Source organism: Homo sapiens, chromosome 2 (assembly GCF_000001405.40).
Source record: "Homo sapiens chromosome 2, GRCh38.p14 Primary Assembly".
NCBI classification, from domain to species: Eukaryota; Metazoa; Chordata; class Mammalia; order Primates; family Hominidae; genus Homo; species Homo sapiens.
Window position 1 is genome coordinate 168,968,352 of NC_000002.12, and position 12,946 is coordinate 168,981,297.

Consider the following 12,946-nt stretch of genomic DNA (forward strand, 5'->3'; position numbering starts at 1 on the left):
TCTGAGGATTAGGACTACAGAGGACTCCTCAGAATATTTGGAAAGCTTGTAATCTGCCCCATGGCTTGAGCTTACCTTAAACTATCCTGGTAGCTCCCTCTGCTAAAGGTCCTCGCAAGCATGTCATCTTCAGTTGCATCTACTCAACACAGCATGAGCAATTTTTTAGTATATACAATAAACAGAACCATATCCAAGTAGAATTCTTTACTATGTTTGCTTAGAATATAATTACTATGTCAAATGCCAAAACATTCTGTTAACTTTATTGCAATAAATAAAACTCGGGACTTGTCCTGCAGATTCTAATAAAAAATTTCAAAATACTCAGCAAGACTGAGTCATTTAAACCATACAATAGCTTGTTACCTCTACAGAAACAGGTATTTTTTTTTAGCATAAATCATAAAAAGTTTAAGAGAAGTCCATCAGAAGTAGCAAAAAAAAAATGATAGAAACACTAAACTTTTCAAAAGTCTATTCAGAATAACCCTCCTATGTTAAATGTATATAGTAGTTACACCTAATGGAGTGAAATGGTGGAGAAAGTTTAGAGTGGTTGGTTAATTTAGATTGAGGTAACCACCAAGTCTGAAAATTCAGACTGATAAAAAAGAAGGTGCACTAGAACCTGAAGTATCTATCTACATTTGAAAATAAGTATTATACTTTCTTGTCATTGATTAATTCACTCAGCCAATAAGCATGAAGCTTCTACTGCGTGCGGAACACACTCTAGGAAGCCTCTTCTATTTGCGCAGGGTTAAAAAAAAAAAAAAAGGGGGGGATGGAATTGAAAGTTAGAAGCCTTGGTTTTAGTGCTGTAACTTGATCAGATAGCTTAGCTTCCTGAGCTTCAGTTGTTTCCTTTACCATCTATATAACGCCTGCCAGAGTTGTTGGGAGAACAGTGAGTATTGAAATACATAGAAAACCGTAAAGCACTATAGACATTAACTATTTAATATAACATACAAGTATAGGGAAAAAGCACTTGCCCTTTATGTCCTCTTCATTAAGAGCTTGATTTCCCTGGCTTTGCAAAGTCACTAGAGTGAAGTAAACACCTTTCCTTTCCAGTAATTCTTCATGGGTCCCTCTTTCCACTGCAGTGCCATGTTCAAAACCAATGATGGTATCTGCAGCTCTGACCGTAGACAAGCGATGAGCAACTGAAATGATTGTGTGCCCATGCTGAATCTGTAAGAATGTACAGTGCACCATTAAACAAAACTGTGAGACAGAGCTGACACTGACCTTTGCATCATTTCAGAATCCATAGGAAAGTTAGATCCTTGGTCCCTGGGAATATTCTTAAATAGGCTGTGCAGACATTAGAAAAGGCCAGCACATTTTCTTGCAGCCATAAACCCCAACACACACTGGCCCTGTTGCTGCCATTAATCAACAGCTAAAAACAATTTTTTAGGTAACTTAAAAAATATCATAAGCTAGTCTTAACAAGATTTAAACTTTTACATGTGTAGCTTTTGGAAACAAATTACAACTTTCTTCTGTTCAACTGTGAGGAAGATTGTAGTCAGCTAATATTTTCTAAACAATCAGACTAGATGCATGAACCCATGTAGTATCAACTACTCCCATCCCTCCCACCCCACAAGGAGCTGCCTTTCCTGCAGCAGCACAAGCATTTCCACATGGACCTGTAAAATGGACTAAGACTTCCACAAACCTTACTCAGCACTTCTTGCACCATGGCTTCACTCTCATTGTCCAGAGCTGAGGTGGCCATGTCCAAAAGCAGAATCTTGGGATTTCGGATGAGGGCTCTGGCGATAGCTACCCTTTGTTTCTGGCCACCACTCATCTGGCCTCCTCCTTCTCCAACAAGGGTGTCAAATTGCTAGATGGAAGGTGACACCAGTCATGAAGGGAAAAGAATTTGATGGCTTCTGACAGTGATCCACTATAATGTCCTTTCTGTCATAGTTTTCTTCTCAAGCACGAATTTTCACTGCTCCGACTTCCACTGAAAGAAATATCCCTTCCCCAGACGGGTTATTGTCTAATCAATATTTATGTGTGAAATAAAGGAATTGATTTATGCTTTTATTCCAGGGTTTACTGGGCTGTGTAAATATTCCTCTTTAGCTCAACTTCAAATAAGATTTTTCAACCAAAATAAAAATTGGTCACGGTCCTAAATATCTATCTCAGAGGATTAAAGCACAGAGCAAATCCGTGTCTCTTTGCTCCTGTTAGACAACACAGCAAAATATAATGCAAAGGCTGTTTTTACATTATGAATAAAAGGTCAAACTAGCTTTATAAGGATTATCATTGACAAAAGATGGTTACTGATTATCTCACAGGCCTAGCACAACATTGGAATCTAATAATTAGGTGTTAGTGGTCAGACACTTATCTTGCTTATTACTAACCAACATGAATTGAGCCCCTACTATGAATAAAGCATGGTTCTGAGCTTTTTACACATAACATCTCTTTTAGTTCTCATAGATACCTTATGAGGCAAGTGCTGCTATTTGCAACTGATGAATAAGGAAACACTGGGCCCAAAGTAACTTGAGAAAGTTTGTAAAGCTTGTAAATAGAGAAGCTGGGATTTGTATCAAGGCAATCTGATTCTAAAGCTTTATACTCTTTAACTACTAGGCTATATCATAGCCACAGCTGCAATCCTATTCATAAAGAGAATTTAGAAGGCTGAAAGGGAAGTGTTCAAGATCACTGACTCTTCTGAAGGCAGATCACCTCAGTATGAACCTTGTCTTTACCATTTACTTGTTGTATAATCTTGAGCAAGCTATTTGACCTCTCAGAACCTCAGTTTTCTATCTTTAGATGGAGCTAATAATATTAGTTGCTCAACAGGGTTGTTGTGAGGGTTTAATGAGTTAATAGGTGTGAAGTGCTTAGAACAGTGCCTGGTATGTAGTAAGAACCGTATACGTGTTAACCCTTTATAATAACTCTTCTTTGACTTAGCAGGCCATCGGTGGCAAAATCCATTGAAGTATAATGCTGAGGAGTTGGTTTTTGTAGTTGTTGTTGCTTAGAATGGAGATATACAATGAATTGTTTTTGACACAATATTAGCTGCCTAAGCACAAGAAAATTATGAGTAGCTGTCATGAGATTATTGTGCAAGTTATTGCCACATGACATTTAGCATCTGCTTAGACAAATGCTTAATAAAAGGAATAAGGACATTGGATCTATGTCAAAGGAGTTTTAAAAAAGATAGTTCCCCAGTTTGGTAGATGTTTAATATATTACCAACAAAGTGAGCTTTTCAAAAGAAAACCTCCTTTTTTGATAGATTTGAACACATAAACAATGTGTTTTCAGATGAAAGGAAACACTCATGGTACTTTTTCAGGCATGAAACTAAAACATGGCTTAAGAATTTAATGACTTGGGAATCATACGAGAAGAAATGTGTATAATTGTGCAACTTTTTTTCCTTCTATGACCTCTTAGTTTCTCCCAGGAATGTATGGCTAGGGGTACCTGTGGCAGGTCCATGATGAAGTTGTAGGCATTGGCCTCCTTGGCAGCTTGGACTATGTCTTCCATTGTTGCATCTTCTCTGCCATAGCGAATATTTTCTGCAATGGTGGTAGAGAACAGAACTGGCTCTTGCTCCACTATCCCAATCTGATCTCTAAGCCACTGAATGTTAAGAGAGCGAATGTCATGGCCATCCACGGTCACCTAGAGAGCATGGGCACAACATCACAACTTTTGGAATCTTTCAGGGTTCTGAATCATAATATTATGTCATACTTGACCAATGGGCAGAAAAAATAGAGGCCAATAAGATTCTAATGGAAACAATTCCTCTTGAAATGTGGTTCTTTATATAAGGATGATAACATGTAATTGAAATCAAGTATAGCTGCAGAACAATTCATTGTGGAAACATAAATGATGTAAATAAAGTTCACTTAATTTAACACCATTGGCCCAGGAATGGACAAATTTTTGATTCCAGTAAAGAGTAGAGACAGTTATTCACTACGTTTTAAATATTTTTATATCTTTTGACTTTTGACAAAAATGGACTCAAAAGATATAATAAAAATAAACAATGATCCCTATCTTGTATATATGATTTATAGTAAGTCTTACTTTCTGGCCAGATTCATCAAATAACACTTTGCTGTTAAAAAGCAAGTGAAACTATCAGTGGGAGCAAATAAAAATCACTATTAGTAAAAATGTAAAAATCTTACATCAAGAAACTATGATTTCTATATATTCAGAGTGCAGTTATGGTGGTAGGTAGTAAAGAATACCCAATCAGAGATGAGATGTCTGTGAAAAAGGAAAACTCTGTTATGTTTGCCATGCCTGTGTAATACTATATGCATGATAGAGAACTCATTTTGTTGAAGCCATTAAATAGTTAAACGATTCCATCTCAAGGCATCAAGGAGATGCTGACAAGAATAATTTTGAGACAGAGTGAAAAGAGCATGGGCTTTGGAACCCAACACACCTGGATTCAATCCTGACTTGGTCATTTACCTGATGAATGACCCTAGACAAGTTTCCATCTCTCTGACTCTCTGCTTCCTTGTTTGTCAAATGGGCCTATGTACCTTTGGGGGTCATTGTGACAATAAGTAATCATTTTAATAAAGTATCTGACACATAATATGTGATAAATAAATGGCAATTACTAATACTCATTTTTCTTAGTTTCTTAGGACTGCTCTCTCTTAATTTCAAGCCCTGTTATTATTCCTATATTTAGTGTCTGGAGAACTTAAGGACACAATAATATTTTCGTTATAATACAAAGAAAAAAGTGGAATAGACAGTTCACTGAAGAGGCAGCAATAGCATTTTAAATGTACAGTTATGCATAGCTAAGCGACGGGGATACGTTCTGAGAAATGTGTCCTTAGGTGGTTTCATCACTGGCAAACATCACAGTGTAGTTACACAAATTTAGATGGTATATATATATTTCCAAATGTCCTAGCACCATTACTAAATATCAATCATTTCTCTTAACTTGATCTGCAATGCCAACATCAAGTGACATATATCAGATTTCTATACATGTTCCATTATAATCTTATGGAACCACCATCATATATGAAATCAATCACTGACTGAAATGTTGCTATGCCACATCTGACTGTATCTGCACATTCAGTTACATTATACAGTGAATGGAATTGACTGGTTATTCACTGAACACTGTTACCATGTAGGAAGCGTGTCCCATCAATTCAGTAACAAATCATTAAGTTAACTATGCATGCCAGGACAGTCTCAATGTATGCTACACCTTTCTGTTTGATCAATATACTGCCATTTGCACTTTACTGTCCCCATGTATTGAGGAGTTTCTGGAAGACACCCACCATTCCTTCACAGGGGTCATAGAATCGCTGAATGAGTTGCAGTGCTGTACTTTTTCCAGCTCCACTGGGTCCTACCAGAGCTGTCATTTCCCCTGGTTTAATGACCATGTTGAGGTCATTTAGAATCTGGAGAAGAAAGAAAACAGCAAAGTTCAGATTGTCACTGTTTACCAAATCAAACAATTAGGCTACAGGTGCAGATGCTTTGTGTTGATACTCGGTGTCTGTGTGTGCGTTTATGTATGCCCCCAAAGCAACGTCCACTGAAATCCATCAAAAACCAGTAAAAGGAAACATTGGCAAGGATGAGGTTTTGGCATTTAGCACATTACTTAATTATTTAACTGAGAGCCATGACCAAGAAGTAAAATGATGCACATTAACACAGGTGAAGTAAATAAGACATGTTAACTTTTAAAATTATGTCCCAAAATCTGATTTAAAATACTCCTGACATACTAGGATAAGGAGACTATGCCAATTAGTTAAAGAAAAAAAATCCATTAAGTTAGAAATATAGTACTAATTTACTGATCATGGATTAACAGTAAGGAAATTTGCGGATTTTAAGCCGTCCGTCATGTGTATGGTGTATGAACATACCATTTGAATAAACTTACTTAATAAATATACACGGTGTGTTTGCTACGTAGAGGCTGAATGCTGGCTAGTAGGTCTTGCGAGGAAAGAATGAGAAGCTAATTCATAACTATCTGTCAATATTTTCACCAATTAAGAGGTGATTTTTGTACTGATTATGGAAAATGTGGTTTGGGGTCCTCTGTGTCACAAAACCTCACGCCTTTCATTTCACACTAGGAGTCAAACTTGCAAATACATTTTCACTTACTGGCCTGTATTGGACTGTAAGCTCCCAGAGCAAGCAGGCATCAAATGTGCTTTTTTATCATTATAGCACCAGTACAATGTGGCACACAGAGGGTTAAAAACATACTCGTACTATGAATAAATACATATAGGTTTAAGTAAGAAGATTTTATTTCACTATTAAAAGTAATGGCAAAAACCTCAATTACTCTCCACCATTGTAATATAAGTTTTAGCTATCCATTCAAAAATATTTACTGAGTGTGTATTACTTTGTAATTCATAGCTTACAAAGCACCTTTACATATGTTATAACATTTGATGTTTAGGTACATATGTAATAGATAATAAAAATATACTTTATGTAATCAGAATATATATTTACTTATGTTTTATATATTTATGTATATAATGAAGGTAAATAGAGATATACACTTATATTTGTACATTTGTTATATATATTTATAGATATATTTACCTACATACTGATAATGTAGGTATGTATATATAGATATAAAATATAGATAAATATATAAATATTTTTATATTTAAATATTTATAGATAAATGTATAAACAAATATTTTTATATTTAAATATTTATAGATAAATATATAATAAATATTTTTATATTTATTTATAGATAAATATATAATAAATATTTTTATATTTAAATATTTATAGATAAATATATAAATATTTAAATATTTTTATATTTAAATATTTATAGATAAATATATGAATATTTAAATATTTTTATATTTAAATATTTATAGATAAATATATAAATATATAAATATTTTTATATTTATAGATAAATATATAAATATATAAATATTTTTATATTTATAGATAAATATATAAATATATAAATATTTTTATATTTATAGATAAATATATAAATATATAAATATTTTTATATTTATAGATAAATATATAAATATATAAATATTTTTATATTTATAGATAAATATATAAATATTTTTATATTTATAGATAAATATATAAATACATAAATATTTTTATATTTATAGATAAATATATAAATACATAAATATTTTTATATTTAAATATTTATAGATAAATATATATTTACATATATATGTATTATATATTACAAATATTATATTATATAAATATTTACCTGCATTTTATATATATGTTTACCTTCTCTCTGTATATATTCATATATTCAAAGAGAGAATGATATATATATCATATATATATCACAGATATATGATATATATATCACATATATATCATATATATCACATATATATATGATAGGTATGTGGTGTCAGAATTAAGTTAGGCTAACAAAATGGGATTTAGTTCTGTGCAGATAACAGAAATATTAAGAGAGAGTGGCTAGAGATACTCTGTTGAAAATGAGGAATAAGTCTAATTTCAAAGCCAATTTATTCAGGGGTAGTAGATCCTAATTTTCTTGTAGAGTAAATTGCCTGTAAAGATAATTTAAAGGCAGGAAATAATTTTTTTCACCATGTGCCCTGAACAAGACACGTGAGCATAATATCACAAGGATACCTTCCTATAAGGGCTGATGCAGTGACCTAGTGAATTTACAGATGGGAAGTAAAAACCTACATAATGGCAGCTTTCCTTTGCCACTTCATACCCTATACTCAGTGTCTTCCACTTTCTGCAGTCTCTGCGAAGGTTGGGAAGAACCTGTGCTTCCTGATTGTTGTAATTGCCTTGTCATTTATCTAGCACTTGCATGGAAAGACAGGACCTGCCACTCATTTCAACAGAGCGTCATACAGTTCATTTAGCCTGAATGTACTGCCAGACTGTGTCCCAACCAGGGGATTTGCACATTATGGTTATCACAAAGGAATGTGGTCTGTTGCCTGAGATAAGCCAACACCCGAGGATACTTTCAGAGAAAGACACCTCCATTCCCTATTACTGGAAACAGAGTCAGGCTTCAGAAAATGAGCAATTTGTGGTTATGCAAATAAATCATCGAAGAAGAAAACATTTACTATTCTGGGGAACAGACCAGCACTCACCTTCACCTCTGGTCTGGAAGGATAATGGAAGGTCACATTATGGAATTCAATTTCACCCTTGATTCGATCCAACTTGTAACCATCTTCTGACATGCAGTCAATGATGGGTTTCTGGAGTGAAATACAAAAGGGACACAGTGTAAACTCAAACTAAGATGCACAACTCAATTCAAATTGTAAATTCAAATAAACATCTTTGGCGTATCTCTGCAATGTTTTATCTGGTTGTTGCTCTGTTTTATGAGTAAATTCAAATGAAGATGTATACATTTATTGTGCCTCTTAGTTTGCATGTATCTTAATTTGAATTTACTTAGAACAACAACCAGATAAAACATTGCAGAGATACGCCAAAGATGTGTACTCATTAAACGTTTATTAATAATAGTGAGAATAATCACTACTTCTTGAGCTATTACTGAGATATTATATATTAACATAATACATATTTAATTAATTTATTTAATTGTTATTATTTATCATGTTGTTACTGAGATATTATATAATATGTGCCATTATATAATAATACATATATAATACATATGTTGTATTAATATTATAAATGTATAACATATGTTAACAATATTATTATATATTATATATTACTAAGATAATATAGGAGACAATGTACTAGGTGTTTTTATACTTTTATTTACATAATTGTCACCGTCACCAAACTAGACTGGTGATATGCCCATTTTCAGTTGAAGAAGTGGAGGAATTGCAGAAAGATTAAGTTTCTAAGACCAGGCAACTAGTCAACCAATCGGGGGTCCGAGGGTATTCTTTTGAGTATCCATGGTAGATGATGATTAAAACTGAGTGTTCCTAAATGATGTGTTCAAATGCTACCAACTTTCAATTGTTGTCCTGAATTTCACCTCTTCTGCTAGCAACAAGCCCAATCTAGAATTTAACCACTCTGGTTAATCAGAGAAAAGTGAGGGCCTCTTCCTGCTACCAGAACACTCCAGCATCATCTTCTTCCCTTGTCCATAACTAGTGATGGAAATTCATCACTGTATTAGTCCATTTTCACACCGCTATAAAGAATACCTGAGACTGGGTAATTTAGAAAGAAAAGAGTTTTAATTGATTCATAGTTCCAAATGGCTGGGGAGGCCTCAGGAAACTTACAACCATGGTTGAAGGCAAAGGGGAAGCAAAGCATGTCTTACATGGTGGCAGGAGAGAGCGCATAGGGGAAACTGCCACTTTAAAACCGTCAGATCTCATGAGAACTCCCTCACTATCACAAGAACAGCATGGGGGAAAATGCTCCTGTGATCCAATGACTTCCCACCAGGTCTGTCCCTCGACACATGGGGATTACAGTTCAAGATAAGATTTGGGTGGGGACATAAAGCCAAACCATATCAATCACTTTAGCTCTATTGAGGAGTATAATGTAATCTACCTCCTTACTGGGTTGCTAATAAAGGTAAGAAATAATTTTTAAATGCCTTAATTTTTTAGTTTCAGGGCACTTTTAGAGTCATCATCTTATTTGAGCATATAACAATCTTAAGAAAGAGGTAGAATTTGAATAAATTGACTTTTTTTTTTTTTTTTTTTTTTTTTTTTTCAGAGACAGGGTTTCACTCTGTCACCCAGGCCAGAGTGCAGTAGTGTGATCATAGCTCACTGCATCTTCAAACTCCTGGGCTTAGGCCATCCTCCCATATCAGCCTCCTGACTAGCTGGGACTATAGGCATGTGCCACCACACCCGGCTACTTTTTAAATTTTTTGTAGAGACAGGGTTGCCCAGGCTTGTCTCAAACTCCTGGGCTCAAGCTATCCTCCCGACTTGGCCTCCCAAAGTGCTGGGATTACAGGTGTGAGCCACCATGCCTGGCCATCAATGAACATTTTTATGTGGTTTTTAACAATCTCTCTGTACTCCAATATATGAAACCCCAAATTATAAAACAGATAAAGCAATGAGTCACTTCCTTAATAGGTTACAACTTCACTGTTTGGCGAAAGAGTATCAAACAGCGGACAGTGAACCAAACAGGTTCAGGGAGCCCGCAAATCACCTCTGGATTTCCAGGGCTTGCTTTGGACTCAGCTCAGGGCATTTTTTTTTTTTAAAGAGAAAGAACAACAGATTGCCAACTTCCCCTTCTGTTCTTGGTTTTCTGTTTGTTTGTTTTTTGAGACACGTTCTCACTCTGTTGCCCAGGCTGGAGAGCAGTGGCGCAATCATGGCTCACTGCAGCCTCGGCCACCCTGGGCTCAGGTGATCCTCCCACCTCAGCCTCTTGAATAGCTGGGACTACAGGCACATGCCATCTTGACTGGCTAATTTTTGTGTTCTTAGTAGAGACAGGTTTTCACCATGTTTCCCAGGCTGGTCTTGAACTCCTGGGCTCAGGTGACGCGCCCACCTTGGCCTCCCAAAGTATTGGGATTACAGGCAAGAGCCACCATGCCTGGCCTGTTCTTGGATTTTGACTCCCTAGCTTGGCCTCCAGTGTGCTTCCATAGACTAACCAGTAAAATCCCTTTTTGCCATATTTAGAAGATAAGCGAATTTTATGGACATGGTCTTGAAGTCCTGCATGGTAGGCCCTTCCCATGCCTCCAGCCTCTGCCCCTTGTTCACTCTATTCAGTTGCACTGGGCTTGTTTCAGCTTCTTTAAATCAGCAGCCTTTTCCAACTTGGGGGCCTCTCTTCCATGAATGCCCTCCCTGCTCTTACTTCCCACGCCCCACCTCCTCCAATCCTCATTTGTATGGCTGACTTTTCTTCAGTTCTCCACTCAAATGCTACCTCCTCAGAGATACTGCCACCACCACCCAATTTAAAGACTCTTTCTCCCACCCCAGTCGCTGTCACATTGCCCTATTTTATTTCCTTTATTTACTTACCACTCTCTGCTATTGTCTTATCTTTGAATGTGCATACTTCTTTACTGCCTGTCCTCTCCCAGCATGAGTAAAGAACAGGGGTCTTACTTGTTCTAGTTCCCTGTTGCATTCACTCCCTTGAGGCAGGAGAATCGCTTGAACCTGGGAGGAGGGGGTTGCAGTGAGCCGAGATTGTGCCACTGCACTCCAGCCTGGGCAACAAGAGCGAAACTCCATCTCAAAAAAAAAAAAAAAAAAAAAAAAAAAGAATTGGCACCAGCACATGATAGCATTTAATAAGTGTTGCTGAATTAAGGGCCTTGCGATAGCTTCTTATATTTTTAACTTTAAGGTAAATTCTTCAGGAGTTCATTCTGTGCCCCACCCCCCAGCCCCCACCTGTTAATGGCCTTTACTTTTGGCTTATACATACCCTGTCTATTGTCTCAAAAATGCTGGTGGCTGCTGCACGTCCAGTTGCAAAGGCTTCCAAACAAGGAGAGGCATTGCCAAGATTTAAAGCTCCTACTATGACACTGAGGAAAATCTGAAATGAAAAGAGAGAGATTTTTCATGTGTTTTTGTTAATGTGTAAATAGTAATTACTATCATTTGGGTCTTCCATGTTAACGCAGAGAGTTATCAGAAATTCTCTTCTGTGGGTTCAAAAGCTAGCTCTTTGGCTGTTTGGAAATACCCAAAATAATTTTTGTTCTGTAAAGCATCTCCAAGTTTTCCACTGTTATGATTTAAAATACCACTTTATTTTTTTACTGAATATTACTCTTCTACAAAGTAGAACTGTCTTGAAATGAGTAAGAAGTCTAAGCAAGGTAGCCTGTAGACCCAAAGTGGACTTGAATAGTGATTTGATAATTGAATTCATTATATAATCAGCCTTATAGTGATTTTCTGGTTAAAGGGTTGCCAAAAACAATACAGACACTAAGATCAGCCTGACTATTCTAGAGGCTGGTACATGCAAAACCAACCTGCTACTGTTGTTACCGCTATACTAATGCTACTATTCCAGTAGTCACTGGGCTAACTACTGCAACTACTATGAATAACAGTAATAATAACAATAATAACAGGTATGTTTCTAAGTGTTTTATCTGTATTATTTCATTTTATCTTTACAACAGAAGAGTGAACAGACAGGTATGGAGGCTCCCAATTTGCACTAGGTTACAACATGTCATAAGTAGTAGAGCAGAATTTGAATCCAGGCTTTTGACTGCCATTCTACCTAGCTCCCAGACTCACCTGTTGCTGGCTATATGCAGGTGGAGTGGTCAGGTTCCTGTGCAGACTTGGGGCAGCTGTTCTTTGACTTACCAATGCAGTCATCTCATTACCTTAGGGGAAGGCTACCTGATCATGCCCAGATGTTCCTACCAAATAGCACTCTGTTTTTATTATCAGCACTGTTTATAAAGGTAAGGAAGAGACAATGAGGCAAATCCTCAAGTTGGCCTCCAGAAGGAATACCAGTCTCCTCCTCTCTACCCTGTCAACCAAAGAATGGTCCTACTCTTGTGACTCGCATAGAGGATGTTTCATTGGCCACAGTCTATTGCCAAGCCAAAGAGTGGCCCTGCATGAATGTAGTCTTTTTCAGGTGATCAAATGATCCTGGTCTGTGATGGTTTCTATAGGCCAGACCCTTCCCATTTGTTGTATCACATTGAGGCAAATTGCCTGAGTCTCTCCTGCTTCTCTTTCTTCCTTGTGGCTGGAGTGTCTGAACCATGGAAAGTGTCAGAGCCTCTCAGCCATGTCTCTCCCTCTTCAGTAACCTCTTCATTCCACACATTAGGATGATTAACAGGGCCAGGGCTGCCATACATGGGTGGTGGGTTAGT

General features: G+C 36.3%; 1 protein-coding gene across 7 annotated transcripts in view; it reads right to left on the reverse strand.

Annotated features, from left to right (window-relative positions):
* ABCB11 (ATP binding cassette subfamily B member 11) overlaps nt 1-12,946 on the reverse strand; it is a 115,935-nt gene that overhangs the window by 52,962 nt on the left and 50,027 nt on the right. For 6 of the 7 annotated variants that reach the window (XM_017005165.2, NM_003742.4, XM_011512078.3 and 3 more), the window contains 7 exons: nt 11,515-11,628; nt 8,226-8,336; nt 5,364-5,489; nt 3,496-3,699; nt 1,694-1,864; nt 999-1,200; nt 76-139 (listed from right to left, as the gene is read on the reverse strand). In XM_017005165.2, coding sequence (XP_016860654.1) covers nt 76-139; nt 999-1,200; nt 1,694-1,864; nt 3,496-3,699; nt 5,364-5,489; nt 8,226-8,336; nt 11,515-11,628 — 992 coding nt within the window. Of the gene's footprint in view, nt 1-75; nt 140-998; nt 1,201-1,693; nt 1,865-3,495; nt 3,700-5,363; nt 5,490-8,225; nt 8,337-11,102; nt 11,281-11,514; nt 11,629-12,946 lie in introns of those variants that run through there. The other variant, XM_017005167.2, reaches the window with a different exon arrangement.